This window comes from Homo sapiens, chromosome 16 (assembly GCF_000001405.40).
Source record: "Homo sapiens chromosome 16, GRCh38.p14 Primary Assembly".
In the NCBI taxonomy this organism is placed as follows: domain Eukaryota; kingdom Metazoa; phylum Chordata; class Mammalia; order Primates; family Hominidae; genus Homo; species Homo sapiens.
In genome coordinates this window covers 68,751,989-68,778,875 of record NC_000016.10, presented here as the reverse complement: position 1 = coordinate 68,778,875, position 26,887 = coordinate 68,751,989, and the positions used below count along the sequence as shown (strand labels likewise).

At 47.3% G+C, this 26,887-nt stretch overlaps 1 protein-coding gene across 4 annotated transcripts in view, besides 27 other annotated features; it reads right to left on the bottom strand.

The window, feature by feature from the left end:
• The window catches only part of CDH1 (cadherin 1), a 98,246-nt gene that overhangs the window by 56,662 nt on the left and 14,697 nt on the right, over positions 1-26,887 (bottom strand). The gene's annotated exons all lie outside the window — the stretch shown is intronic.
• Positions 4,424-4,568: an enhancer, noted in NCBI's record as "145 bp 16:68808283 sequence used in MPRA reporter constructs". NCBI's record gives its function as "activates a minimal TATA-containing promoter with rs12708889 allelic activity by MPRAs in C283T melanocytes {active_cell/tissue: C283T}" and the evidence as "EXISTENCE:reporter gene assay evidence [ECO:0000049][PMID:36423637]".
• Position 4,496: a transcriptional cis regulatory region, noted in NCBI's record as "rs12708889 or 16:68808283 MPRA-significant variant associated with a GWAS melanoma risk locus at 16q22.1". NCBI's record gives its function as "allelic transcriptional activity by MPRAs in C283T melanocytes {active_cell/tissue: C283T}" and the evidence as "EXISTENCE:reporter gene assay evidence [ECO:0000049][PMID:36423637]".
• Positions 6,476-6,770: an enhancer, noted in NCBI's record as "tiled region #4224; K562 Activating DNase matched - State 5:Enh". NCBI's record gives its function as "activates a minimal TATA promoter and a strong SV40 promoter by Sharpr-MPRA in K562 cells {active_cell/tissue: K562}" and the evidence as "EXISTENCE:reporter gene assay evidence [ECO:0000049][PMID:27701403]".
• Positions 8,981-9,125: an enhancer, noted in NCBI's record as "145 bp 16:68803726 sequence used in MPRA reporter constructs". NCBI's record gives its function as "activates a minimal TATA-containing promoter with rs28450087 allelic activity by MPRAs in UACC903 melanoma cells {active_cell/tissue: UACC903}" and the evidence as "EXISTENCE:reporter gene assay evidence [ECO:0000049][PMID:36423637]".
• Position 9,053: a transcriptional cis regulatory region, noted in NCBI's record as "rs28450087 or 16:68803726 MPRA-significant variant associated with a GWAS melanoma risk locus at 16q22.1". NCBI's record gives its function as "allelic transcriptional activity by MPRAs in UACC903 melanoma cells {active_cell/tissue: UACC903}" and the evidence as "EXISTENCE:reporter gene assay evidence [ECO:0000049][PMID:36423637]".
• Positions 10,635-10,779: an enhancer, noted in NCBI's record as "145 bp 16:68802072 sequence used in MPRA reporter constructs". NCBI's record gives its function as "activates a minimal TATA-containing promoter with rs8056206 allelic activity by MPRAs in C283T melanocytes and UACC903 melanoma cells {active_cell/tissue: C283T | UACC903}" and the evidence as "EXISTENCE:reporter gene assay evidence [ECO:0000049][PMID:36423637]".
• Positions 10,635-10,783: a biological region, named in NCBI's record as "melanoma risk locus-associated MPRA allelic enhancers 16:68802068 and 16:68802072".
• Positions 10,639-10,783: an enhancer, noted in NCBI's record as "145 bp 16:68802068 sequence used in MPRA reporter constructs". NCBI's record gives its function as "activates a minimal TATA-containing promoter with rs8055912 allelic activity by MPRAs in UACC903 melanoma cells {active_cell/tissue: UACC903}" and the evidence as "EXISTENCE:reporter gene assay evidence [ECO:0000049][PMID:36423637]".
• Position 10,707: a transcriptional cis regulatory region, noted in NCBI's record as "rs8056206 or 16:68802072 MPRA-significant variant associated with a GWAS melanoma risk locus at 16q22.1". NCBI's record gives its function as "allelic transcriptional activity by MPRAs in C283T melanocytes and UACC903 melanoma cells {active_cell/tissue: C283T | UACC903}" and the evidence as "EXISTENCE:reporter gene assay evidence [ECO:0000049][PMID:36423637]".
• Position 10,711: a transcriptional cis regulatory region, noted in NCBI's record as "rs8055912 or 16:68802068 MPRA-significant variant associated with a GWAS melanoma risk locus at 16q22.1". NCBI's record gives its function as "allelic transcriptional activity by MPRAs in UACC903 melanoma cells {active_cell/tissue: UACC903}" and the evidence as "EXISTENCE:reporter gene assay evidence [ECO:0000049][PMID:36423637]".
• Positions 11,789-12,463: an enhancer, noted in NCBI's record as "H3K27ac-H3K4me1 hESC enhancer chr16:68800316-68800990 (GRCh37/hg19 assembly coordinates)". NCBI's record gives its function as "activates a minimal SCP1, AML or CMV promoter by ChIP-STARR-seq in naive H9 embryonic stem cells {active_cell/tissue: H9 hESC(naive)}" and the evidence as "EXISTENCE:reporter gene assay evidence [ECO:0000049][PMID:30033119]".
• Positions 11,858-12,002: an enhancer, noted in NCBI's record as "145 bp 16:68800849 sequence used in MPRA reporter constructs". NCBI's record gives its function as "activates a minimal TATA-containing promoter with rs13330350 allelic activity by MPRAs in UACC903 melanoma cells {active_cell/tissue: UACC903}" and the evidence as "EXISTENCE:reporter gene assay evidence [ECO:0000049][PMID:36423637]".
• Position 11,930: a transcriptional cis regulatory region, noted in NCBI's record as "rs13330350 or 16:68800849 MPRA-significant variant associated with a GWAS melanoma risk locus at 16q22.1". NCBI's record gives its function as "allelic transcriptional activity by MPRAs in UACC903 melanoma cells {active_cell/tissue: UACC903}" and the evidence as "EXISTENCE:reporter gene assay evidence [ECO:0000049][PMID:36423637]".
• Positions 12,763-12,907: an enhancer, noted in NCBI's record as "145 bp 16:68799944 sequence used in MPRA reporter constructs". NCBI's record gives its function as "activates a minimal TATA-containing promoter with rs4783674 allelic activity by MPRAs in C283T melanocytes {active_cell/tissue: C283T}" and the evidence as "EXISTENCE:reporter gene assay evidence [ECO:0000049][PMID:36423637]".
• Position 12,835: a transcriptional cis regulatory region, noted in NCBI's record as "rs4783674 or 16:68799944 MPRA-significant variant associated with a GWAS melanoma risk locus at 16q22.1". NCBI's record gives its function as "allelic transcriptional activity by MPRAs in C283T melanocytes {active_cell/tissue: C283T}" and the evidence as "EXISTENCE:reporter gene assay evidence [ECO:0000049][PMID:36423637]".
• Positions 17,820-17,869: an enhancer, noted in NCBI's record as "active region_11029". NCBI's record gives its function as "activates an Ori minimal core promoter by ATAC-STARR-seq in GM12878 lymphoblastoid cells {active_cell/tissue: GM12878}" and the evidence as "EXISTENCE:reporter gene assay evidence [ECO:0000049][PMID:35858748]".
• Positions 17,880-17,929: an enhancer, noted in NCBI's record as "active region_11028". NCBI's record gives its function as "activates an Ori minimal core promoter by ATAC-STARR-seq in GM12878 lymphoblastoid cells {active_cell/tissue: GM12878}" and the evidence as "EXISTENCE:reporter gene assay evidence [ECO:0000049][PMID:35858748]".
• Positions 17,960-18,119: an enhancer, noted in NCBI's record as "active region_11027". NCBI's record gives its function as "activates an Ori minimal core promoter by ATAC-STARR-seq in GM12878 lymphoblastoid cells {active_cell/tissue: GM12878}" and the evidence as "EXISTENCE:reporter gene assay evidence [ECO:0000049][PMID:35858748]".
• Positions 19,995-20,139: an enhancer, noted in NCBI's record as "145 bp 16:68792712 sequence used in MPRA reporter constructs". NCBI's record gives its function as "activates a minimal TATA-containing promoter with 16:68792712 allelic activity by MPRAs in C283T melanocytes and UACC903 melanoma cells {active_cell/tissue: C283T | UACC903}" and the evidence as "EXISTENCE:reporter gene assay evidence [ECO:0000049][PMID:36423637]".
• Position 20,067: a transcriptional cis regulatory region, noted in NCBI's record as "16:68792712 MPRA-significant variant associated with a GWAS melanoma risk locus at 16q22.1". NCBI's record gives its function as "allelic transcriptional activity by MPRAs in C283T melanocytes and UACC903 melanoma cells {active_cell/tissue: C283T | UACC903}" and the evidence as "EXISTENCE:reporter gene assay evidence [ECO:0000049][PMID:36423637]".
• Positions 21,382-21,431: an enhancer, noted in NCBI's record as "active region_11026". NCBI's record gives its function as "activates an Ori minimal core promoter by ATAC-STARR-seq in GM12878 lymphoblastoid cells {active_cell/tissue: GM12878}" and the evidence as "EXISTENCE:reporter gene assay evidence [ECO:0000049][PMID:35858748]".
• Positions 21,476-21,620: an enhancer, noted in NCBI's record as "145 bp 16:68791231 sequence used in MPRA reporter constructs". NCBI's record gives its function as "activates a minimal TATA-containing promoter with rs9646283 allelic activity by MPRAs in C283T melanocytes {active_cell/tissue: C283T}" and the evidence as "EXISTENCE:reporter gene assay evidence [ECO:0000049][PMID:36423637]".
• Position 21,548: a transcriptional cis regulatory region, noted in NCBI's record as "rs9646283 or 16:68791231 MPRA-significant variant associated with a GWAS melanoma risk locus at 16q22.1". NCBI's record gives its function as "allelic transcriptional activity by MPRAs in C283T melanocytes {active_cell/tissue: C283T}" and the evidence as "EXISTENCE:reporter gene assay evidence [ECO:0000049][PMID:36423637]".
• Positions 22,112-22,211: an enhancer, noted in NCBI's record as "active region_11025". NCBI's record gives its function as "activates an Ori minimal core promoter by ATAC-STARR-seq in GM12878 lymphoblastoid cells {active_cell/tissue: GM12878}" and the evidence as "EXISTENCE:reporter gene assay evidence [ECO:0000049][PMID:35858748]".
• Positions 22,205-22,349: an enhancer, noted in NCBI's record as "145 bp 16:68790502 sequence used in MPRA reporter constructs". NCBI's record gives its function as "activates a minimal TATA-containing promoter with rs13333528 allelic activity by MPRAs in C283T melanocytes {active_cell/tissue: C283T}" and the evidence as "EXISTENCE:reporter gene assay evidence [ECO:0000049][PMID:36423637]".
• Position 22,277: a transcriptional cis regulatory region, noted in NCBI's record as "rs13333528 or 16:68790502 MPRA-significant variant associated with a GWAS melanoma risk locus at 16q22.1". NCBI's record gives its function as "allelic transcriptional activity by MPRAs in C283T melanocytes {active_cell/tissue: C283T}" and the evidence as "EXISTENCE:reporter gene assay evidence [ECO:0000049][PMID:36423637]".
• Positions 24,383-25,340: an enhancer, noted in NCBI's record as "H3K4me1 hESC enhancer chr16:68787439-68788396 (GRCh37/hg19 assembly coordinates)". NCBI's record gives its function as "activates a minimal SCP1, AML or CMV promoter by ChIP-STARR-seq in primed H9 embryonic stem cells {active_cell/tissue: H9 hESC(primed)}" and the evidence as "EXISTENCE:reporter gene assay evidence [ECO:0000049][PMID:30033119]".

Below are 26,887 nucleotides of genomic sequence, written 5' to 3'. Positions count from 1 at the left end.
CCTCAATCAATTCCATAGGAAAACTGCTTATTAACTAAATCAGGAGGCAGAGGCTTGCCGTTCATACCAGCGTTAAATACTCTTTCCCTTCTCATTGTGACTGCACCGTTTCTGCTGACAGGGCAGGAGTTCAGACCAGTCAGGCTACTGCTTTCTCTTTTAAACACCCTTTTAAGCCATTAGCTTAGGCTCATCTGGAAAACCGGCCTGCCTGCCTGCCTTCTGATTACACACACAATATATTCAGCTTATCTCAGGTGTCCATTTCCTTCAGCAGGTAGGGAGCTGTGGTTTCCCAGAAGCATTTCTGTTTCTGGGAAGGCTGCAAACCAAGGCTCTACACATAGGGCAGGACCACGTGGAATCACTGGGGCTCACAATTGTTTACTAAAAGCTCAGGACTGGAGCTCTACTTACTAATCTGAACAAGAGCTGTTTCACTAATGATGATTTGTTCCCTGTTGGCATTTCAAAAAATATTGAGATATCATTAACACAACACAAAATTCACCAATTTAAAGTGTACAATTGGTCGGGCACGGTGGCTCACACCTGTAATCCCAGCATTTTGGGAGGCCAAGGCAGGCGGATCACAAGGTCAGGAATTCGAGACCAGCCTGGCCAATATGGTGAAACCCCGTCTGTACTAAAAATACAAAAATTAGCTGGACATGGTGGCAGGTGCCTGTAGCCCCAACTACTTGGGAAGCTAAGGCAGGAGAATTGCTTGAACCCGGGAGGTGGAGGTTGCAGGGGACTGAGATTGCACCACTGCACTCCAGCCTGGGCAACAGAGCGAGATTCCGTCTCAAAAATAAATAAATAAATAAAGTGTCCAATTTCTGGCCAGGCATGGTGGCTCATGCCTGTAATCCTAGCACTTTGGAAGGCCAAGGCAGGTGGATCACCTGAGGTCAGGAGTTTGAGACCAGTCTGGCCAACATGGCAAAACCCCATCTCTACTAAAAATACAAAAGTTAGCTGGGCGTGGTGGTGTGCGCCTGTAGTCCCTGCTACTTGGGAGGCTGAGGCAGGAGAATCGCTTGAACCTGGGAGGCAAAGGTTGCAGTGAGCTGAAATTGTGCCACTGCACTCCAGCCTGGGCAACAGAGTGAGACCCCATCTCAAAAATAATGATAAAAATAAAAAATTTAAAAATACAAAAATTAGCCAGGTGTGGTGGTGCATGCCTATAGTCAAGCCACTCAGGAGGCTGAGATGGGAGGATGGCTTGAGCCTGGGAGGTCGAGGCTGCAATAAGCCGTGGTTGCACCACCACTGCACTCCAGCTTGGGTGACAGAATCAGACCCCCTTCTCAAAAAAAAAAAAAAAAAAAAAAAGGAAACATTACCTTTTCTAGAACACTACCACCCCACAAACACTGCTTTTGAAGGCAGTCTTGGCTAAAGCCTTTGGTGGCAGAGATAATATTAGCAGCTAATGCTCTAGAGCACACTGCATGCCAGGCTTATATTAGTCATTTATTTTCATAATAATAGTATGAATTAGGTACTATTATTGTCTCCATTTGACAAATGAGAAAACTGAGGCATATGAGGGTTGAGTAACTTGCCCAAGGTCACATAACTTACAAGTTACTGGTGTGAACCTGGAATTCGAGCAAGCACAGGCCGTCTGGCCCCAGAGCCCGTGGCTCTTGACCACTATGCTTTCATGAAGGGTTTTCTGCCTATGAGGCTTGAGAAAGACTGAAGGAAGCACCATGCCAACACACCTGAACACACACTAAATGAACCTGGGGGGACTGTGGCTTTCTCTCTCTGAACCAGTTCATGATATGAGGCTTAGAGGCACCAATGTTGCATTTGGAACAGCAACAAACACAAGCTTGGGACTGCACGGTGGTTACAAGTAACAAGTCTGAAGTCAGCCACACCAAGATTGAGGTTTCAGCTCCACCACTCAGACATACTTGAGGTTAAGTCACTTACCCTCTCTAAGCCTTAGTTTCCTCTCTATAAGATGGGCCGAATGGCAATCTCTAAATAACAGGACTGTCGTGAGAACTACATGAGAAAGTATATAATGTAAAGTGACCAGCCTAATCTGACAAGCCTGTTGGATTTCATGCATGGGCTGTTTTGCTGAAAACTGTGCATAACTCAAAACATGCTCAGCTTTCCTTTAAAAGTAGATGTGATGCACTCCCATTCTTTAAAAGCTGCAATATAAAATGAAACTTTATGCCAGGTGCAGGAACTCATGCCTATAATCCCAGCACTTTGAAAAAGCCAAGGTAGGAGGATAGCTTGAGCCCAGGAACTCGAGACTAGCCTGGGCAATATAGTGAGACCCCTGTCTCTACAAAACATACTATTTAAAAAAAATTTTTAATGAGATTTTACTAAGTAAAATATTATAGTGCAGTTTCAAGTCTGAATGATTCAAATCCGCTGAATGTCAGGTACTGTCCATAGCTAATATTGGACTCCTGCTGTGCACCAGGCATGCCACTCAGCACTTTAATCCACTATTCATGTTCAGGAAACGTTGGTCATTATTAAAAATAGTAAAAGTATATGAACTATGCTTGTTACCTGCTACTACATTAAAAGAAATCTAAAATAGGCCTGGTGCGGTGGCTCACACCTGTAATCCCAACACTTTGGGAGGCCAAGGTGGGTGGATCACTTGAAGTCAGGAGTTTGAGACCAGCCTGGTCAAGATGGTAAAACCCCATCTCTACTAAAAATACAAAACTTAGTCAGGCATGGTGGTGCGTGCCTACAGTCCCAGCTAGCTACTTGGGAGGCTGAGGCACAAGAGTAGCCTGAACCTGGGGGTGGGAGGTAGAGGTTGCAGTAAGCCAAGATTGCACCACTGCACTCCAGTCTGGGTGATAAACTGAGACTCTGTCTCACCAAAAGAAAAAAAGAAATCTAAAATAGCCATATTTGAGGACTTTTGACAATCTTCCCTCCTAACTTTCCTCCTTTTGGGTGGATGGGGGAGACCTGTGGAAGACAGGGGAAATGTAAAGGGGGACATTTTGCTAAACATCTGAGTGACAGCTTTGGAAAACGACCACACCTAAGTTTACACTTTCTTGACCTTGATGTCTAATTTCAGGGTCTATCAAATCATAACCTTTTGTTTCTTTGGAGAGCAACATGCTGATACCATCAGCTTTATCTTAGACGCTTCAGATGTAGAAATGCCAGCTATGCTTTATTATAGGGGAAGGAAATGTCTTTTTAAATTACAAACTTGAGTCCCATGTGTGGCTAGTGTGTGCATGCATATAGCTTACATGAAACCTACATGCTTTTAAACACAAAAACAGAAATGTGTAACTGCTCCTAGAATCCAACCGAATCCAAAGTGGGAGAACAAAAAGGGGGCCTTAGGCAAACCAAAGGCAAGAACACCACCTTCTCTTCTCATGTTCCCTTCTGGGTACACAAGGATCTCGGGAGGTGATGTTTGAAATGACTTGCATGTGAGAGTTTGTAATAAACACAAGACATTCTTGGCATGGTTGGGAATATTTGCCATCAGAGTTGGATGTTAGATGACATTATACGTTTTCTTAGTTGTGATAATGGCATTGTGGTTCAGGAGATGCAGACTAAAGTATTTAGGGGTGAAACATGCCTGCAGCGTACTTTCAAATGGCTCATAAAGTGCATGCTCGGACGCACACACTTAAGAGGCACACACAGAGAAGGCAAATATGACAATGTTAATTGTAAAATGAGGGTGTTCTTTTTTCTTTTTTTTTTTTTTTTGAGACAGGGCCTTGCCCTATCACCCAGGCTGGAGTGCAATGGTGCAATCATAGCTCATTGCACCCTGGACCTCCCAGGCTCAAGCATTCCTCCCACCTCAGCCTTCTGAGTAGCTGGGACCACAGGTGCGCACCACCATGCTTGGCTTCATTGTACTATTTCTCAACTTTTATGTATTTAAGTTTCCATAATTAGAAGTTTTGGGGATGGGGAGGGGCTTCTATAATGAGAACTAACCAAACTAACCACGTGGATTTATTTCAGATAAAATCAGGACTGAGATTCACCCAGTATGGACTGACAACAACCACACCAATGGTTGAAATATTGAAAAGTCCCATCAGTTGGTGAGTAGCCTTTGCTCTGAGCCTCCTGGTGTCCTCCCCAGTGCCCACCCTCCAGCTGCTGCCCAGGGCCCCAGCACTGCTTGAGCACTAAACACCAGGCATCCGCTTTCATTGCAAAGGGTCCAGGCTGTACTGGTCATCAAACTTTACTTATTTTATTTATGACAGGGTATTGCTCTGTCACCCAGGATGGAGTGCACCACGTTGAATGCAAAGGGTCCAGGCTGTACTGGTCATCATCAAACTTATTTATTTATTTGAGACAGGGTCTTGCTGTGTCGCCCAGGCTGGAATGCAGTGGTGCAATCTTGGCTCACTGCAAGCTCTGCCTCCCGGGTTCAAGCAATTATCCTATCTTGGCCTCCTGAGCAGCTGGGATTAAAGGCACCCACCGCCACGCCCAGCTAATTTTTGTATTATTAGTAGAGATGGGGTTTCACCATGTGGGCCAGGCTCAAACTCCTGACCTCAAGTAATCTGCCCGACTCGGCCTCCCAAAGTGCTAGGATTACAGGCATGAGCGACCGCACCCAGCCATCAACAAACATTTTAAAACTGTGCTTCTGGCCATTCACGGTGGCTCATGCCTGTAATTCCAGCACTTTAGGAGGCTGAAGCAGGAGGATTGCTTGAGGCCAGGAATCAAGACCAGCCTGGGCAACATAGCAAGACCCTGTCTCTACAAAAAATTTAAAATTAGCCAGATGTGGTGGCGTGTGCCTGTACTGCCAGCTACTTGGGAGGCTGAGGTGGGAAGATCGCTTGAGGCTGGGAAGTTGAGCTGCAGTGAGCTATGACTGCACCACTGCACTCTAGCCTAGGTGACAGAACGTGGCCCTGTCTTAAAAATAAATAAATAAAACATTATTCTTGCATATTCTTAACTACTGGCCATACTCCACCAATCTCTCGTCTTGGCCATCTTTGTCCACATAACTTGTTTCTCATGGATATGAACAGGAAGAGCCCTGTGGCACACAGGTTAAGTGCTCAAGCTGAGTTTAAATCTTGGCTGTGCCACCTCCCATCTGTGGGACCCTGGACTAGTCACTTTACCTCTCAGAGCCTCAGTTTACTTTACTGCAAATTGGAGATAATACAGTCAGTTCTTCAATAATCCTTGTTTTGAAAATGCAAATGTGTTTCAATGTGAATGATGTATTAGGAAATAACTTGAGCAGGCTGGGTGCACTGGCTCACGCCTGTAATCCCAGCACTTTGGGAGGCCAGGGCGGGCAGATCACCTGAGGTCAGGAGTTCGAGACCAGCCTGGCCAACATGGCGAAACCCCGTCTGTACTAAAAATACAAAAAAATTAGCTGGGAGTGGTGGTGCACACCTGTAATCCCAGCTACTGGGGAGGCTGAGGCAGGAGAATCACTTGAACCTGGGAGGCAGAAGTTGCAGTGAGCCAAGATTGTGCCACTGCATTCCAGCCTGGGTGACAGAGCAAGACTCCATCTCAACAAAAAAAAAAAAAAAAAGGAAAATAACTTGAGTATAACTCAATGTCAAGGTTGCTCACATGTGCAATTTTGTCTCCAACCAACACTAGGTGAATGCAGAAGACTCTATCTAGCTGAAGCACGGGAACACACAAAACACCCACCTTCTCCAGCTGCCTCAGTTCACATGTTACAAACCTCACCCATCCACACCTGGTGTTACAACTTCCATCTCATTTCAGACAATTCTCCTTCCACCACTTATAACAAGCCACAACCCTTTAGAGACCCATTTCCACAAGCAAAATTCTTTTTGTCTAATGTATTACGATGAAGTTCTTGAGTGCTGAGCTCCTAAACCCACTTTCCCATAAGCCTGGTGGTTTTGGTTTTTGTTTTTGTTTTTTGAGACTGGGTGTCACTCTGTTGCCCAGGCTGGAATCCAGTGACACAATCATGGCTCACTGCAGCATTGACCTCCCAGGCTCAAGCGATCCTCCCACCTCAGCCTTCTGGGTAGCTGGGACCCCCAGGTAATTTTTTTGTACTTTTTGTATTTTTTGTTAGGATGGGGTCTCACTCTGTTGCCCAGGCTGGTCCTGAACTCCTGGGCACAAGCGATCCACCTGCCTCGGCCTCCCAAAGTACTGGGATTACAGGCTTGAGCCACCGTGCCCAGCCTAAGTCTGGTGTTTTTCATGGGCAATTTGACATAGTGTGGTGATTTTGAGGAAGACCTACATCACAGGGTATGGAGTGAAGTATATATAAGATCTGTATACGGTGCGGGTTAGCCCAGAGCCAGGCCAGTTGTAAGTGGTCCATAGATGTCAGCTGTGACTGTTCTCTCGCTCTGAATGTAGACAGAGCCTGGTGCATAAAAGATGCCCAGTGAACATTTATTGAATTTTCCTTGATGGGTCTATGGCTTATTAATCTTAGTGAACTAATTAAAGAGACTTATCTATCTCTCCCATATGTTGGAGAGGGACAAACCATAAATTAGAGAGGAAGCTTCCAAGTTCTAATGGAGCCCCGCCCTTCCATGCATGGCACGAAGAGGATAAGAAAGGCAGTGTCCCTGTCTGCTAGGCCTGCCCGATTAGGTGGTAAGCAAGGCAAGGACATATGCGATTGGCCGTTGTGTGGCAACACGGGGCCAATTTTGAGATAAGGAGCCTAGACCCTGAGTCCTTAAGTCAGGGTCCCAGTGTAGCATTAAGTGGTTGAGAGCCCCAGGTCAGAGGTCAGACGACCCAAGTTCAAGCCCCAGATCCACTTATCAACTATGCCACCTTGGGCATGTGATTTCACCTCTCCTGCCTGCCTCGATTTCCTCATATGCAAAACAGAAATAGTGATGGTCTCTATTTCCTAAGGGGATGGGATGATTCAACAAGTTAATCCACGTAAAGCCCTTTAGCACTGTCAGACACAGAATAAAAGCTCAATGGGCTAGGCACGGTGGCTCGCGCCTGTAATCCCAGCACTTTAGGAGGCAGAGGCAAGAGGCCAGGTATTTGAGACCAGCCTGGGCAACATAGTGAGATCTCTTTACAAAAAAAAAATTTTTTTTTTTTTTTGAGAGGGAGTCTTGCTCTGTCGCCAGGCTGGAGTGTAGTGGTGCGATCTCGGCTCACTGCAACCTCCACCTCCTGGGTTCAAGCGATTCTCCTGTCTCAGCCTCCCTAGTAGCTGGGACTACAGGCATGCGCCACCACGCCCAGCTAATTTTTGTATTTTTAATAGAGACGGGGTTTCACCATGTTGGCCAGGATGGTCTCGATCTCTTGACCTTGTGATCCACCCGCCTCCACCTCCCAAAGTGCTGGGATTACAGGCGTGAGCCACCGCGCCCGGCTACAAAAAATTTTTTTAAATTAGCCAGGTATGGTGGCACGTGCCTATGGTCCCAGCTACTCGGGAGGCTCAGATGGGAGGATTGCTTGAGACTAGGAGTTCGAGACTACAGCGAGCTGTGATCTGCACTGCACTCCAGCTTGGGTGACAAAGTGAGACCCTGTCTTAAAAAGAAAAAGAAAAAAGGGCTCAATACACATTAGCTGCTATTCTGGGATTCTAGGGCTGAAAAAGAAGATCAGAGCCTGCGTAGGAAAGCGTAGGTGTGAGTAGCAGCCAGGGAAGGTCTGAGTTGCCTGGGACTGCAAGGCAGAACAGCCAGGAGCTAACTTCCACCAACCACGCGCCCCGAACCCTTTCTCACACACCAGCCCGCACTTAGCCGTGTCCATGGAAGAAATGAGAATCAGCTCTGTCTCCTGCACATCATTTCCAAAAGACGGGAGAGCCTCCTCCACTGGCGGGGAAAGGATTCCTATGGAACCTGACGCAGGAGTTGGCTGCACGGTCTGGTTTGCATCACTTCGTCTCGGTGGAAGCTGATGGAGGCAGAGGCACTTATCTGTCCTTCAGAAGATAAGGTCTAAAAAACTAGAGACCAGCTCTAGCCTCTGCCTTCCCCTCCCAGCTTATCTCCCGCCTGTGAGCCCATCTACCCACCAGGCCCTGCCACACTGGGCCTCTTGCCCACTCCACACACTGCGCTCCTTCCTGTCTCAGGCTCTCAGCCCTTGCTGTTCCTCTGCTTGGAATTCTCTTCCTACTGCTCTCTTCATGGTGTCCTCCTTTCTACCACTAGGTACCACACAAACATCCTCCTGCCTGATCCACTCCTCAGCTAAAGGGGCCCTGCACCACTACCCCAGGCACTCCCTACCCCGTTTCACTGCTTTACATCCTTCTAGAATGTGCTGCCCTCTGAAATCCTTATTTATTGCCACGTTCCCTGAAGGTGCGAGGCTGGTGCCTGGCCCACAGCAGGCTCTGAATGAATCTGGATGTCAACTGGCTGGTACCCACCTGAAGGCAGAGGCAGAGTCATTCAGCTGTCCATGAACATCCCCTAAGGGCCCTCTATGTGCTGCGGACTGAGCTTTGGGCTCCGGGAGTGGGGATGGGACACAAGAGACCCAAATACTTACCTCTGAGGTCCTTCCAGGCACAGGAAAAGATGTAGTCAGAGGGGGTCTAGCCAGGCGATGTCTTGTGGAAGACAGGCCCAGTCAGGAAGGTGACAGTTTTAGGACAGGAGGCAGAGCTCCCCAGAGCACACACCTGGTGGTGGCAGAGAGGGCTAGGCCAGGTGGCCCCAAAAGCCCTTCCAACTTTATGATTCTGAGGCAAAGATGAAGAAAGCAACATAATAGTAGCCAAGAAAGGACCCCTAATTGACAGGGAGGAAAGGTCTCCAGATAGACTTGGACCTGAAAACAACCGGGGGCATGACAGCAGCCATCAGAGGCTACCATTTTCTTTAAAAAAAAAAAAAAAAAAGCCAGCTGCGGTGGCTCACACCTGTAATCCCAGCACTTTGGGAGGCCGAGGTGGGCAGATCATGACGAGCTCAGGAGATTGAGACCATCCTGGCTAACACGGTGAAACCCCGTCTCTACTAAGAATACAAAAAAATTAGCCAGGCGTGATGGCATAAACCTGTAGTCCCCAGCGTGAGCCACCGCGCCAGGCCCCAGCTAATGTTTTTATCTTTTGTAGAGATGGGGTCTCCCTATGTTGCCCGGGCTGGTCTTGAACTCCTGGACTCCGGCGATACTCCCACCTTGGCCTCCCAAAGTGCTGGGATTATAGGTGTGAACCACCACTCCCAGCCATGGATAAAATATTTTAATTATGAAATTACATGTGCAGGTTGGGCACAGTGGCTCATGCTTATAATCCCCACACTTTGGGAGACTGAAGCGGGAGGATCTCTTGATCCCAGGAGCTCAAGACCAGCCTGGGCAACATAGTGAGACCCTGTCTCAATTAAAAAGAGGAAAAAAAAAAAAAGAAATTCCATTTGCAGAGGGTTTTCTATGAACACCTGATAGGCCACGGTACAATTTAGAGGCATCTTACCATGTGCTGCCTCAAAGGAATCAGAAAGCAGCCAACAGACATTGAAGTAGGAAGAGCAAGAGCATGATTTTGAAAAAAAGTATACACATAAATCTAACTGTATGAAACATTTCTATAGGCATATTTCAGTAGTTATTGATATAGATGTATTTGTAATGAATACAGAAATAGCTGTGTGGAGTCATTCAAATATCTGAGGACCTCCTCTATGCTGGGCAGAATTCTGAGCCCAAGCCCTAGAAGTACAGCAATGAACAAAACAGACCCACCCTCAAGGAGCTCATATTCAAAGAGAGGGAGACAAGCAGATCATGAAATTGAATAGTAATCAGTGCCATGGAAAAAAGGCAGGGTAGGCGGTACAGTGACAAGGGTATAGATGTGAGCTATTATCCAAGACAGACTCTGCTGAGAACTGGGGCAGTTTGAGCAGAGACTGGAAAGAGATAAGCAAGAGTGGCATGAGGATGCCTGGGGGAAGGGTGCTCTGGGCACAGGGAACAGCAGGCACCATGGCCCTGAGGCAGAGAGTGTTGGATAACGATTTACTTTAGTAAAATGCCATTACTTATACTTGCATTTATATTACAACATATAAGATAATAATAGAGACCTTACTTCTAGGAGGATGTATACAAAAATGTTCCCCGGTGGTGATATCTAGATAGTGACTTTACACACAATTTAAATATTTTTGTTCTTTTTATTAAGAGATGGTATCTCCCTATGGAGGCTGGACTTCAACACTTGGGCTCAACTGATCCTCTCACCTCAGCCTCCAGGGAACACCTGGGACTATAGGCATGTACCACTGCACCCAGCTTTTTTCTTTTAGCTATCTATATTTTCCAAAGTTTTCCCCACAACTAACATGTATTAGCTGCAAAATGACAAATATCAATGGAAAGTCCAAGGTATTAAGAGCTGTTGCCAAAATCACATGAAGGTAAGAGCTCTGTGGAGAAACTGGATCCTCTCTAAGGAACAGATTTATGCTTAACTCATAGAAACCTAATTACGCAACTGATCTTGTTTTCCTCTTTGCTCAGAGTCAAATCTGTGGTCTGCTTTTAGCAGGGATCTAGGTCTGTGGCAAACACATCACTATCCAACCTTCTTCCTATACTCATCTTTTTTCTTAAATCGTAATTAAGCCGGGCGCAGTGGCTCACGCCTGTAATCCCAGCACTTCGGGAGGCCAAGGCGGACAGATCACCTGAGGTCAGGACTTCGAGACCAGCCTGATCAACGTGGAGAAACCTTGTCTCTACTAAAAATGCAAAATTAGCTGGGTGTGGTGACGCATGCCTGTAATCCCAGCTACTTGGGAGTCTGGGGCACTTGAACCCGGGAGGCGGAGGTTGCAGTGAGCCAAAAGCGTGCCATTGCACTCCAGCCTGGGCAACAAGAGCAAAGCTCCATCTCAAAAAAAAAAAAAGTAATTAAAATATTTTATAACATATTTTTAGAGATGGGGGTCTCTCTATGTTGCCCCAGCTGGTCTGGAACACTTAGGCTCAAGTGATCCTCCTGCTTCAGCCTCCCAAGTAACTGGCAATACAAGTGCACACTACCACACCCGGCTCTCCTCTTATCTTTTATTCTTATTTCTCCTTTGCCCATTTCCTTAACCCTATCTGAGAAATACATATAGCTATTATGCAATTATGCATCTGGGTGCCCCAAACCTCAAAATTCTTTGTTGGAGAGGTAGGAATGAACAAAGTAAATAAAAAAACAAACAAACAACAATAACAACAAAAGACCAAGATACAGACAAGAGATTCTTAATGAAGTCTTGAAAAAGAAATGTTGTTTTGGGAAGTCTTGTTACTATGAGAAAGAGAATCCCCATCTCTGGGGAATCCCAACTTTCTCATTATTGAAACTTAATGGTCTAGGCCGGGCACGGTGGCTCAGGCCTATAATCCCAGCACTTTGGGAGGCTGAGGTGGGTGAATTACCTGAGGTCAGGAGTTCAAGACCAGCCTGGCCAACATGGTGAAACCCTGTCTTCACTAAAAATACAAAAAAAATTAGCCGGGCATGGTGGCACACCCCTGTAATCCCAGCTACTCGGGAGGCTGAGGCGGGAGAAGTGCTTGAGCCCGGGAGGTAGAGGTTGCAGTGAGTTGAGATCATGCCACTGCACTCTAGCCTGGCCAACAGAGCGAGACTGTCTCAGGGGAAAAGAAAAAAAAAAAGAAACTTAATGGTCTAAAATGGAGCAGGGATGGTCTGGTTCATCGTGTTCTATTATGAAAATAAAACGACCCTAAAACTTTCTAAGTGGCAGATCTCCCTGTCACAGCAGACCACAGCTAAATGAACTTCTCTGGGTCTCAGTTTCCTCATCCAAAAATGGGGTCTAGGCGGGGCGCAGTGGCTCACACCTGTAATCCCAGCAATTTGGGAGGCCGAGACAGGCAGATCACTTGAGGTCAGGAGTTCGAGGTTAGCCTAGCCAACGTGGTGAAACCTTCTCTACTAAAAATACAAAAAATCAGCCGGGCGTGATGGTGGGTGCCTGTAATCCCAGCTACTCGGGAGGCTGAGGCAGGAGGATTGCTTGAACCCAGGAGGCAGAAGTTGTAGTGAGCCGAGATCACACCACCGCACTCCAGCCTGGGCAACAGAGTGAGACTGTCTCAAAAAAAAAGGGGGTTCTAGACCTTACTACTCCCACAAAGTAACTGGGAGAATTATATGTTACTATACAAATGCTCAGGGCAATGCCCCACATATAGTAAGGCTATGTCAGTGTTAATAATAATAGCAATTATGTTTACCCATTATCAGTAATAACTAATTGTAATTCTGAGTGCACACATGACATTCTATATTGTTCATCTCATTTAATCTCCCCCAAAACCTTATGAAGTAGGTTCTACTAATGCCATTTTACAGAGGGAAAACATTGACCGGAAGACAAGATGCCCTTGAAAGAAATCCTGCTACTGGTCCCCTGGATTTTGGGAGAGCCTGGGCCAGTTTTCTCAAGGAAGGGAAGCGGTGCATCCGGCAGTTAGGGACAAGTTGTGAATCTTTGCCCTGCCATGAAATAGTCAAGGGGATGTCTCAGAGCCACAGTGTCTTCATCCATAAAATGGGGTAATATAAATTTTTTTGTTTTGTTTTGTAAACAGAATCTCACTCTGTCGCCCAGGCTGGAGCACAGTGGCGTGATCTCAGCTCACTGCAACCTCTACCTCCCGGGTTCAAGCGATTCTCCTGCTTCAGCCTCCCAAGTAGCTGGGACTACAGGCGCGCACCACCACACCCGGCTAATTTTCTGTATTTTTAGTAGAGAAGGGGTTTCACCATGTTGGCCAGGCTGGTCTCAAACTCCTGACCTCATGATTCGCCTGCCTTGGCCTCCCAAAGTGCTGGGATTACAGGCATGAGCCACCGTGCCTGGCCGATATAAAATTATAGTAGGGGTGATGTGAAACACTAAACGATCTCACATATGTAAAACTAAATGCATACCAGTAAGTGAAGGGTTCCCAATCAATAAATAACTGAAGGGTCTTCGATTATTTGACACATAGGAGAAGATTAACTAAAAACCAGGCACAAGATAGAAAGAGAAACTAGATCCAACTGTGACAGGGAAATTTCCCATGAGAGGAAAACAAATCTTTTAAAAAGTGTTAAATATCTGAAAATCATGACATGTCTAGAAATACTTAAAGAAAAAAAAAAAAGGAGACAGGTCACCTGTCTTGAGGCAAACAAGCAAAGACAACTCAGGAGCCCTCAGGTTCATGATTAATTGCCCCTACAATTTTGGGATTTCATTTAGAATCAAATAACTAAAATGCCTTACATACCTGCTGGATCCGTTACCAAACTCCAGATGGATTAATCATTGACCAAATCCCCCCTACCTTTCCAAAAAAATTAAAAAGCAGCCAGGCGCAGTGGCTCACGCCTGTAATCCCAGCACTTTGGGAGGCCGAGGCGGACGGATCATGAGGTCAGGAGATCGAGACCATCCTGGCCAACATGGAGAAACCCTGTCTCTACCAAAAATACAAAAATTAGCCAGGTGTGGTGGCAGTTGCCTGTAGTCCCAGCTACTCAGGAGGCTGAGGCAGGCAAATCGCTTGAACCCAGGAGGCAGAGGTTGCAGTGAGCCGAGATCACGCCACTGTACCTGGCGACAGAGCGAGACTCCATCTCGAAAAATAAAAAATAAAAATAAAAAAGCAATTTAATTCCACATTCACAGCAAGGAAAGTCCCCAAAATTCTCAGTTGGCCCAACCTAAAAGTGAAACTGCAGCTGCCTTATCTCCATGCTGGATCTGTTTTCTGCTCAGCTTGAGTTTCATGCTGGCTTCTCCGCAGACAGCAGGAGGGTTTGGTGATGCATTTTAATATTGGGCTGGGCAAGTTAGAAATAAGGGAGTTGGGTTTGCAGAGTCATAAAAGTGATGCCTCTTTCCAAAACCATGTAAGTTAACTTGTCAAATCATCCACTAGTCTGCATTATCCAGTCTACCGTCACCGCACTAGGAGCCAGAGATCTTGGATACAGCAGGTGGCCAAGGACTACCTGAATGGAAGAGTGAATGATGGGTGAACAGATGAACAGACAGACAGAAGGAAGGGGCTCCCTGGCCACCTAAGGTCTCCTCTCCAAATACACTGGAATCCCTCCTCCACCACTGAGTTGCTGGTGCTTGTTACACACCTTGCATATTTTGCTTGCTTTCCTTCTCCAAGAACACACAGGGAGTTTGCAGGCCTTAACTTCATTTCCCTTCACCTGTCTTGATAGACCCTGAGATTGGCTCTATGTTATTTTATTTTATTTTGAGATGGAGTCTCACTCTATCGCCCAGGCTGGAGTGCAGTGGCGTGATCTCAGTTCGCTGCAGCCTCTGCCTCCCAGTTCAAGCGATTCTCCTGTCTCAGCCTCCCAAGTAGCTTGGACTACAGGTGCACAGCACCATACCTGGCTAATTTTTGTATTTTTAGTAGAGATGGGGATTCGCCATGTTGGCCAGGCTGGTCTCAAACTCCTGACCGCAGGTGATCCACCCGCCTTGGCCTCCCAAAGTGCTGGGATTACAGGCGTGAGCCACCATGCCTGGCCAGCTCCCATTTTAGACTGGTAATTCCACTCAGAGTTAGCCCTAAATGTCATCTGGGATGACTCCTCAGAGAAATCTGATGAAAGATGTAGACATGATCCACATCTGTGAACTGATCACACACACACCCCTTTGTCTACAACTTCGGGTAGCTTCATAGCCCATCCCCCACCAAACCCAACCAATAATCATCTTTTTTAACAAGTAAACAAACAAAAAAACCCATCAAATCTCAAATCTCTTGACTCAAAACCTCTGGGAGGGAAAGCCCCTCAAAGTCTCCACTTTTAAGCTCTCCATGTGTCCGCCATCCCCCCAACCAGCTCTGGCCCAGGTTTGGAAACCTGCTCTCGCCCAGGTTGTCCTTGCAGTGGGATCCAGGGACCACCAGTTCCAGCACAGGATGGGCTTATTTTAAAATGCAGATTCCTGGACTCACCCCAGACTTAAACATCAGAATCTCTAGGGGTGCAGTCTGCACTTGTAGTTAGTTTTGCAGGAGGTTTTGAAGCACATTAAAGACAGAGAACTGTTTCCTTGGACTTCACAGGGTTAAAATGTCAGACAGGCAAAGGCCTATAAACAACTGCTAATGAACTAATCAGCATTTCAAATCCTGGAGCTGACAACGGTAACCACTTTCCCAGAAGTGGGGGAGGAGGGCCGAGGGAAGGAGACCCCTCCGCAGATTTATTCTTCCCTCCCCTACTTCCAGGTCCCACAGTTGACTTCCAGTTCCCTTGCCCCTCTCACTCTGGGAGGTCCTCACCTTTCCTCAACTGCCTCAGCAGTTGCCTCTGCCAAGCCGGCTGTTCCTCTCTCTAAACCTCAGTCTCTTCATCTGTAAAGTGGGGAGGAGGCTAGGGGCCAATGGACTGTGGCCATAAGGGAATTTGAGGTGTAAACCCACTCCCAAGGCTCCTGTCCCATTTTCCCAGCTGAAATTGGACTTCTTCCCCCAGCACCCCCACCAGGCATTCTCCAGGATTGGCAGGCTGTGTTTGTTTCTCCCCTTCTGTCTCCAACTATAATGTGAATTCCACACATTGTAGGGAGTGGGGATTTTCTTCTGGCACAGGGTTGGCTCAACAGCCAAGAGTGAGTTGGAGTTTTGGGCTCAGTGCCTGGCTGGTACTAAGCACGCAAAACAGGAATAGCTGTCACCATAATTTCTCCTCAATGTAAAAAGCAGGGGAATTGAACGCTTTAAATTAAGCTACTTTTTACAATTGATTTATCTTCAGGAAGCAAATAGCCTTGCTGTGGGGAAGAGAGGAATCAAACTTTTTAAAGGTCCCTTACTGTTTAAAAAGATGGCCAGAGAGATCCATCTAAGCTCAGCTGGTTTGGGGCTTTTTTTTTTTTTTTTTTTTTTTTTTTTTTTGAGACGGAATCTTGCTCTGTTGCCGAGGCTGGAGTGCAGTGGTGCTCACTCTTGGCTCACTCCAACCTCTGCCTCCCAGGGGTTCAAGCGATTCTCCTGCCTCAGCCTCCCAAGTAGCTGGGATTATAGGCGCCCACCAACACGCCCGGATAATTTTTATGTTTTTAGTACAGACTGGGTTTCGCCATGTCGGCCAGGCTGGTCTCAAACTCCTGACTTCAGGTGATCCTCTGGCCTTGGCCTCCCAAAGTGCTGAGAATACAGGCGTGATCCACCATGCCCGGCCTGTGTTTTTGTTTTGTTTTGTTTTTGTTTCTGAGAGGAGCAAAATGTGATTGAAAGTTTTAGGAATCTGGCTTCCTCCTCTCCATTATAATGCACTCCCTCACTGCAAAAGTCCCCAAAAGATGGACATAAGTCACCTCCACTGGGGGTTATGGGGTAACCCTGCAGCCTAATCCTCCCACAGCAAAGAGCCCCTCATCAAACTACTCACTGAGTGGCAACTACATGCCAGGCTTAATGCTGGGGGCTGCGAATACTTCCCAAGTACCCAGCCTGGTGGGGGAGCATAAAGGAACCCAGGGGATCCCAACTGGCAAAGGGAAGGAGTAGGACGTATCCCGACACAGGCCTTGGGGATGAGGATCAGAGAAGGCTTCCTAGAGGTAGCAACAACGAAGATGGCCCTGAGAGAGAAATGAGCCAGGCAAGGAACACTGGGAGGTGTCCCCAGTGGAGGGGTCAGAATATGCCAGAGCCAGCAGCGCCATTGGAAATGGGAGTCCATGGCCCCACCCTGGGCCAAATGGAGCAGAAGCCCAGGGGAGGCCCAGACCTCTGTGCTCAGCTCAGAACCTGAGCAGGCAGGCCAGTGCCCATGCTACTAACCATCAGGCTCCACTGCCCAGAATGGAGAGGGGAGGCAGAACTGGCAGGAGGAGGCAGCCGGTGGATCTGGGCTAAAGGACCAGAGGAGTCCCAAGTGAAAGACAAAGTCCTGGTGATGGGTACAAGGCCCTCCACATGCTGCCACCCCCTCTGCCCTTCTGCCAGCCCCTGCCCCTTGATCACTGACCTTGCCCTTCTGCTCAGTGTCAGGGGTGTGTCTTTGCTGTTCCCTCCATCTAGAACGCCCTCCCCTCCGTCTAGAACACCCTTCCCTACCTAGTCACATGGCCTGATCCTTCACCTCTCTTGGGTCTTTGCTCAAATGTCCCCCTTCAGTGAGGCCTTCTCAGATCACCCTAGTACTTCCCAGCAATGCTCCATTCCGATTCATCTTTCCTACACACCTGTCTCCACTCAGTGCTCTAAATATTTTGCACATTGATTATGTTTATTGCCTGCTCCCTGCAATACCTGAGAATACAAATTCCATGATGGGGGACATTCATATGTGTCTGGGTCTCTGTGTCCGCCATTCACAACAGTGCTTGGCGCATAACAGCCCCTCCATCATTACTGAACAAACGAATGGAGGATAGACACATGGATGGGTAGGATGGGTGAGATGGGCACCTAGAAGCAAGCTTGAGGAGAAGGGGATTTGGGATAAACATGTGGGGGCAGGGGAGAGGGTATGGGATAGCCCAGCGGGGCTGCCCCAAGCCTGATGTATCAGCCTAGACCACTCAGGCCTCTCCAAGGGCTGCCCCAGGCAGCGGGAGGGCAGAGGACCTGCTGTCCGGGTTCTCCAAGTTCTCCCAGCTTGCTAGCCTTCAGGCCAAAAGGGCCTCACCCAACCAGCCACACTATTGTCCTTCTGCAGTCCTGCCAGGCTCTGTTGAGCCCTGTCTGCCTCAAAGGCCCTGTAGGAAGAACCAACGAGGGAGTTTTCTCACAGCCCCTACCCTCCTGTGTGACTCGAGGACCGGAAGTTCAGTTTCACTTGACCTATCTGAGTCACCATCCAAATATACCATCTGTCATATTCCTGTCTCCCAGTCTCTGCACAGGAGGTCCCGCCCCCACCTCTCTAGGCTTGGGGCATCCCCCTCTCAGCCAACAACAGAGGCTGAGAGTCTCCCCGTATTCCTGTTCACATACCACCCCACATCCCAGACTCCCCCTGGCCTCCCCACTCTGGGGAAGCTCCACCAGCTGACCCAGCCCACACAGTCCCACCCCACCTGAATTCTAAATGAGCCCATTGTCTGACGACTTGGCATCCCAGTGTTTTCTATCACCCCTGGGTCAGCTCCAAACTCCTGGAAACAAGGCTGGTAACTGACACAGAGCACACAGAAGGCACTCACACACTGTGCGGAAGAGAACTAAACCTCAAGGTGTGTGTGGTGGTCTGTGATATTATTAATAAAGACACCTTGCCCAGATTAAAGAGAAAGAATGGGGGAGAAACATTCTCCAAGGCCTGTTATAAAGGAGGGGCAAAATTCTCCAAGGCCTGTTATAAAGGAGGGGCAGGAGACGGTTATACTTTACAAGACAATTCACATTCCCATCTTTGGAAAACTAGAATTTAAAATACTTTAGAAGGGCTGGGCGTGGTGGCTCATGCCTGTAATCCCAGTGCTTTGGGAGGCTGAGTGGGGGAGGATCATGGGGTCAGGAGATTGAGACCATCCTGGCTAACACGGTGAAACCCCGTCTCTACTAAAAATGCAAAAAAAAAAAAAAAAAAAATTAGCTGGGCGTGGTGTTGGGCACCTATAGTCCCAGCTACTCAGGAGGCTGAGGCAGGAGAATGGCATGAACCCGGGAGGCAGAGCTTGCAGTGAGCTGAGAGCGCACCATTGCACTCTAGCCTGGGGGACAAGAGCAAGATTTCATCTCAAAAAAAAAAAATTAAAAAAAAAAAAAAAATATATATATATGGAATACTTTACAAGACAGTTCACATTTCCATCTGTGGAAAACTAGAATTTTAAAAACTCAGCCGGGCACGGTGGAAAAGGGGATTTTAGGGGCTGCATGGGTGGACCTTGGCATGAGGCTCCTTTCTAGGCCAAAGTGATGGATCTAGAATGGAAACATTCTTAGAAATAGAGCCGCTGAGCACAGGAAGGATAAAAGCCAGCCAGGGCGGTACACACTTTTCCTTCCCAGCTCCCCTAGCTGTAGAAGCTTCTGTTTATGATTTGGAAATGGAATTGTCAGGCCCGGCGTGGTGGCTCACGCCTATAATCTATAATCCTAGCACTTTGGGAGGCCAAGGCAGATCACCTGAGGTGAGGAGTTTGACACCAGCCTGGCCAAAATGGTGAAACCTTGTCTCCATTAAAAAATACAAAAATTATCTGGGCATGGTGGTACGCGCCTGTAATCCCAGCTACTTGGGAGGCTGAGGCAGGAGAATCGCTTGAACTCGGGAGGCGGAGGTTGCAGTGAGCCAAGATCGCACCATTGCACTCCAGCCCAGGCAACAGAGCAAAATTCCATCTCAACCAAAAAAAAAAAAAAAAGAAAGAAAAGAAAATGGAATTGCCATAGTACCTAACTCTAAAGTTGATGCAAGGATTAAAAAAACAAGATCATACATGAACAGTTGAGTACTCAATCAATAAATGAATGCAACGACTATTGTGGTCATTGTATAACAATACTATTATTATTGGTAGAGATGGGGGTCTTGCTATGTTGCCCAGGCTGGTCTTGAACTCTTGGGCTCAAGCGATTCTCCTGCCTTGGCCTCCCAAAGTGTTGGGATAACAGGCATGAGCCACTGTGCCCCCTGTAATCCCACCACTTGTCGGAGGCTGAGGCAGGAGGATTGCCCGAGCCGAGGAGTTTGAGACCAACCTGGGCAACACAGTGAGACCTTGTATTTTTCAAAATAAATTAATTAAATGTAATTAGCTGGGCACGGTGGCTCACACCTGTAATCCCAACACTTTGAGAGGGCTAGAGGGGCAGATCATCTGAGGTCAGGAGTTTGAGACCAGCCTGACCAACATGGTGAAACCCCATCTCTCTAAAAATAGAAAAAATTAGCCAGGCATGGTGGCAGGCGCCTATAATCCCAGCTACTCAGAAGGCTGAGGCAGGAGAATTGCTTGAACCCGGGAGGCGGAAGTTGCAGTGAGCCGAGATGGCACCAGTCTGGGCAACAGAGCAAGACTCCATCTCAAAAAAAAAAAAAATTGCACTCAAATGGATGTTGGGTCAAAGGAGCGTCTTATTCTTTAGGAGGTCAAGAGCAAAGTGATAAGGGGGTATCACTCTTCCTCATACTCAATCCTCTGTGGCTCCTTTGACACTTACACTACCCGCCCCCCGCCCCATGCTTTTTCACTCCCTTGACACAAGTCTAAAGCAGAAACATCTAATGAGAAAAACTAATTTGTTTTTTTAGAGATCGATTCTTGAGACATTGACCAGGTTGGAGAGCAGTAACTATTCACGGGCACAATCAGCATGCACTGCAGCCTCGAAACTCCCAGGCTCAAGTGATCCTCCTGCCTCAACCTCCCAAGTAGCTAGGACTACAGATGTGTACCACGGAGCCCAGCCAATAAAAACTAAATGAAGAGTGGTTGCTACGTACCAGGCACTGGAAGCACTTCGCACATGCTAACTCATTGAATCCTCATTGCAATCCTTTGTGGTAGGGGCTATGTTTATCCCCTTTGTACAGGTGAGGGGACTGAGGCACAGAAAGATTAAGAAACTGGCCCTAGGGAATTCCCATTTGGGTCTCTCTCTCTCTCTCTCTCTCAAAAAAAAAAAAAAAAAAAAAAAAAAAGAAATAAAAAGAAGCCTACCCTAGGCAAAATGGGGTGGGGTTGGGATAGAGGGGAGGGACACAAAAAAATTTGAAAAAAAAGAAAGAAACTTGCAGGCCAGTGCAGCAACTCACATCCGTAATCCCAGCACTTTGGGAGGCTGAGGCGGGCAGATGGCTTGAGCTCAGGAGTTCAAAACCAGCCTGGGCAACATGGCAAAACCTCGTCTCTACAAAAAATACAAAAAAAAAAAAAAAAAAGATTAGCCTGGAGTGGTGGCATGCACCTGTAGTCCCAGCTACTTGGGAGGCTGAGGTGGGAGGATGGGGATGACTTGAGCCCAGGAGGCAGAGGTTGCAGTGAGCCAAAATTGTACCACTCCACTCCAGCCTGGGTGACAGAAAAAGGCCCTGTCTCAAAAAAAAGAAAGAAAGAAAGGAAGGAAGGAAGGAAGGAAGGAGAGAGAGAGAAAGAAAAAGAGAGAGAGAAAGAAAGAAAGAGAAAGAAACTTGCCCAAAATCACAGGAAAAGTAAGGGTCCAGTTGGGATTGGAATCCAGGCAATCCTGCTGCATTCCACCCTCCCAGTTCATCTTCTCTAAGAGAAGCTCATAGGCTAAAAGAGAAATAAATGCTGAAGAGTCAAATCTCTGTCAAAACCAGAAATGAAACCTCACATCTGGCAAGTAAAATGTGGTTTCCTAGGTTCAACAGCTTCCCAGGTATTTAAACACTCCCATGGTGGAAGTGAGAGGATTAGCAGAAAGAAGAATGAAAAATCATAACCAAATTACAAAGCCCAAAGAAAAATAAGTACAACTTACAGGAAGTTTCAAAATCAAAAACTCAGCTGGTTGCCATGGCTCACACCTGTAATCCCAGCACTTTGGGAGGCCAAGGTGGGCGGATCACTTGAGGTCAGGACCAGCCTGGCCAACATGGTGAAACCCTGTCTCTACTAAAAATACAAAAATTAGCCGGGCATGGTGGCGCTGGCCTATAATCCCAGCTACTCGGGAGGCTGAGGAAGGAGAATAGCTTGAACCTGGGAGGTGGAGGTTGCAGTGAGCTGAGACTCCAACACTGCGCTCCAGCCTGGGTGACAGAGCAAGACTCTGTCTCAAAACAAAACAAAACAAAAATCAGAGACTCAAAATACAGCTCTGAAACATCCAAAAACCTCAAGGAGTAGAAGAGGGCTTTGTTTTGTTTTGTTTTTTGTTTTTGAGAGAGCGTCTCGCTCTGTCACCCAAGCTGGAGTGCAGTGGTGCAAAACGCAGCTCACTGCAGCCTTAACCTCCTGGACTCAAGGGATCTACCTGCCTCAGCCTCCCATGAAGCTGGGATCACAGGCACACGCCACCATGCCTGGGTAATTGTTTTTGTATGTAGAGACAGGGTTTCCCTTTGTTGCCCAATCTGGTCTCCAACTTCTGGGCTCAAGCAATCCTCCCACTTTGGCCTCCCGAAGTGCTGGATTACAGGCATGAGCTACCGCACCCGGCCTCTTTTTAAATGCAGACTTGAGACAAGAAGGCAAAAGTTACAAGAAATACAACCACAAATTCTATTTTCTCCAGAAAATTTAGTCATGATTACAAGCCTGGGAGTTAGGTGGTAATGAAACCAGCCACATGAACGTCACCAAGCAGCTGTTATTTCTCCAAAACCTTTTAGCACGAAGCTAACAGAGACGAGATCTAGGGCTAGTATCTCCTGGGACTTATGAGTAAGAGCCGGCACCTAGAGTACCTGTCACTATAGAGGGTGATGTCACCGCTGATTCAACCTGATATTGAAAAACCTTACCAGGAGAGGCCTCTCAATGTCGGTGACTCAGGGCCCCACCCCACCTGTTCATAAAGTAAGTGCCCAGGTGTTTGCCTCACTGCTTATTCAAGGGATGATGTTTTCCAATAGGAAAGCCACAACTCTCCCCACCAACAAGTTGGTCATCTTGTTCCCTTTTTCAAACACTCCCACATAGTTGTGGTGAAGAATTTGTTGGGGAGGAAGCCTCGTACTGAAGGTGAGATTCCAAAGTAAGTACCAGGTCCTAGGAACACTCGTATACATGCACAAAAAAAAAAAAAAAATATGCCCTAAATGATGCCTGTTTAGAAAATATCATCCCTCTGCAGGAAGAATCTTTAGAAAACTCGGCTAGGCACAGTGGCTCATTCATGCCTGTAATCCCAGCACTTTGGGAGGCCGAGGAGGGCTTATCACCTAAGGTCAGGAGTTGGAGACCAGCCTGGCCAACATGGTGAAACCCCGTCTCTACGAAAAATACAAAAAGTAGCCAGGTGTGGTGGCACATGCCTGTAATCCCAGCTACACCGGAGGCTGAGGTGGGAGAATCGCTTGAACCCGGGAGGCAGAGGTTGCAATGAGCCGAGATCAGGCCACTGCACTCTAGCCTGGGCAACAAGAGCAAGACTCTGTCTCAAAAAAAAAAAAAAAAAAAATTTAGAAAACTCTGCTGGAGCAATATTCCTCTTGGGCAACATGCTGAGGGGTGGGGAGTGGCTTGGAATGAGCATTATTTCCTGGTTTGAATCTGATACCCTTTAAAGGAGATGTTCCTAAAGTGGCAGGTCAAAAGAGAAAGATAAATAAATAAAAAATGAAGGAGATGTGAAAATGAGCCCTCAGGATTCCTTCTCTAGAAAATGCCTGGCCTGGCCGGGCATGGTGGCTCAGACCTGTAATCCTAGCACTTTGGGAGGCCAAGGCGGGGGTATTGCTTAAGCTCAGGAGTTCGAGACTAGCCTGGGCAACGTAACAAGACCCTCTCTATTTATTTTAACAAAAAATTTAAAAATTAAAAGAAAAATGCCTGACTAGAGAACAGTCTTTTTCAATGACATGAATATAGACTTGAATGTAGAAGTCCAGTCCCCTCAAGATACAGTCCAATTCTATTTTTTTTTTTTTTTTTTTTTTGAGACAGAGTCTTGCCCTGTCACCCAGGCTGGAATGCAGTGGTACGATCATGGCTAAACCTCCCAGGCAGCTTCAACCTCCCAGGCTCAAGTGATCCTCTCACCCCAGCTCCCAAGTAGCTGGGACTACAAGCATATGCCACTACACCTGGCTAATTTTTGGATTTTTTGTAGAGGCGGGGTTCTATCATGCCCAGGCTGGTCTTGAACTCCTGGGCTCAAGAGATCTACCTGCCTTGGCTTGGGATTACAGTCATAAACCACCACACCCAGCTGACACAGTCCAGTTCTAACATCTATTGAGCACCTCACTTCTTCTTCTTTACACAAATGCCATCCTTCTTAGTGATGACTGCCCCTAAATTTCTCCACCCCAATGCATAGTTTTTATCACCCTTCCTGCTGAGTTTTATTCTTTCTTCCATACATCACCATCTACCTGTCCCCTCCAATTAGAAGAGAAATTCCATGAGGACAGGGCTTTTTCTCTGTTTGGGCCCCGCTGCATCCCCAATGCCTAGCAGAGGGCTTGGCAGGTGCTCAGCACAAATTCATTAAGTGAATGGACAGACAAATACCTCTGTCACCTGAGACCTTCAGAGAAGGAATGATCCATCCCTTTCACCTGGCTGCTCACAGACTGTTCTGTGAGTTGCCTTTTCCTGCTATAAAGAGCACAGACTTTGGAGTCCAACAGCCACCAGACATACGGCCAGGCTCTCCCACTTCCTGTGTGCATGACACACCTGTGTGCATGAGGGTTACAGGAGATGGCATACGGGAAGAGTTCAACATACAGAAAGCACCGCTCAATACACTGTTGCTTATGATCACAATACAGAGTACAACAACAAATACTTTTCTTTTTTCTTGAGACAGTGTCTCACTCTGTCGCCCAGGCTGGAGTGCAGGGAGGCAGTCACAGCTCACTGCAGCCTTGACCTCTGTGGTCTCAGGTGATCCTCCCACCTTAGCCTCCCAGGTAGCTGGGTCTGCCAGCTCATGCCACCAGGCCTGGCTAATTTTTAAAAATCTTTTGTAGAGACAGGGTCTCCCTATGTTGCCCAGGCTGGTCTCAAGGGATCCTCCCACCTCAACATTCCAAAGTGCTGGGATTACAGGCATGAGCCACTGTGCCCTGCCGAATAATTTTTTTTTTTTTTTTTTGAGACAGAATCTCGCTCTGTCACCCAGGCTGGAGTACAATGGCTCACTTGGCTCACTGCAAGCTCCACCTCCCAGGTTCAAGCCATTCTCCTGCCTCAGCCTCCCAAGTAGCTGGGACTATAGGCGCCTGCCACTACGCCTGGCCAATTTTTTTTTGTATTTTTAGTAGAGATGGGGTTTCACCATGTTAGCCAGGATGGTCTCGATCTGCTGACCTCATGATCCGCCTGCCTCAGCCTCCCAAAGTACTGGGATTACAGTCGGCCACCGTGCCCTGCCCCTGCCAAATAATTTTTTTTTAAGTATGTCTCAAATATTGCATGGGACATACTTATGCTAAATATTAGCCATCGTTTATCTGAAAGTCAAATGTAACTGATAGTCCTGTATTGTTATTTGCTAAATCTAGCCACACTACCCATTAAGCCATTACCCTGCTGAAGGCAGGACAGTCTAGGTTACATAAAGATTTGTAAGATGTGCCGGGCGCGGTGGCTCACGCCTGTAATCCCAGCACTTTGGGAGGCCGAGGAGGGCAGATCACGAGGTCAGGATATTGAGACCATCCTGGGTAACACGGTGAAACCCCGTGTCTATTAAAAATACAAAAATTAGCCGGGCATGGTGGCTAAAAATTAGCTACTCAGGAGGCTGAGGCAGGAGAATCGCTTGAACCTGGGAGGCAGAGGTTGCAGTGAGCCAAGATTGCACCACTGCCCTCCAGCCTGGGTGACAGAGGGAGACTCCCTCTCAAGAAAATAAGAAAAAAAAAAGATTTACAAGATGTTGCCCTACAGTACTCTCTCATGAATATTTATTGATCAGATGGATTTTGAAGCCATGAGATTTTTATCTTGGCCGAGATCTGATTAAGCAGGCCTTGCTTTTTTTTTTTTTTTTTTTTGAGACTGAGTCTCGCTTTGTCGCCCAGGCTGGAGTGCAGTGGCGCGATCTCAGCTTACTGCAACCTCCACCTCCCAGGTTCAAGAGATTTTTGTGCCTCGGCCTCCCGAAGTGCTGGGATTACAGGCGTGAGCCACCACGCCTGGCCGGCCTTGCATTTTTGTCTTTGAGCTTTTTGCGTCTCTCATCAAGCTCTTTCCAGGCTCCTCTGCACTGCCAAAAACTGGAAGAACAGACATCGGTTCTTGAACAATTCATGGGTCTGAAGGATGCTGAGATACCCAGGGGGCAGGTGTTGGGTGTATCTGAGAGCCTTGCTCAAGGAAGGTGTTACCCACACAATAGGAAACCAAACAGATGGCTCTGGCGGGCTCAGATATCTGCCTAGATTTTGATCTGGTGCTTCCTTACACTCAGAAGTGTGGGGTAGAAATGGCTCATCTGACCTTTAGACTCCAGACTGCAAGCTGTTTTGTGACAAGACAATTAGGTAAGGTTACATCAGGGGTGTGCAGAGCTCAGAGAAACTGGGGAGTGCCAACCAGAGGCACACGCCCTGAGAACACCCCTCCTCCCTTCTCTGTGGCTAATACATAAAGCCCTGTCTTTAAAAAAAGAAAAAAACAACTACAGTGAAATATCCTCTAGAGAGATCTGTTTAGTCCTGTCTGTATTAAATACACTCTGAAACCTCTCATTCATTCATTCCTTCGGATACTTACTGAGCCCTTATTATGTACCAAGCACTATTCTAACTGCAATTCAGCCCAAGTACAAAACAAAAGACATTAAAAATCCCTGGCCTCCTGAGGCTTCTGTTCTAGTGGGAGGAGACCCGCAGTGAACAGGAGAAATAAGTGAAATACATAGCATGTTAGACAGTGAAAAGTACTAGAAGAAAATTAAGTAAAAGAGGTGGGGAGGGCTGAGGGCAGGGTTTACTATCATAAATAGGGGGTCCAGATTGGGTGTGGTGGCTCACGCCTGTAATCGCAGCACTTTGGGAGGCCAAGGCGGGTGGATCACCTGAGGTCAGGAGTTCAAGACCAACCTGGCCAACATGGTGAAACCCAGTCTCTACTAAAGATACAAAAATTAGCCAGGCGTGGTGGCACATGCCTGTAATCCCAGCTACTTGGGAGGCTGAGACAGGAGAATTGCTTGAACCCGGGAGGCGGAGGTTGCAGTGAGCCGAGATCAAGCCACTGCACTCCAGCCTGGGTGA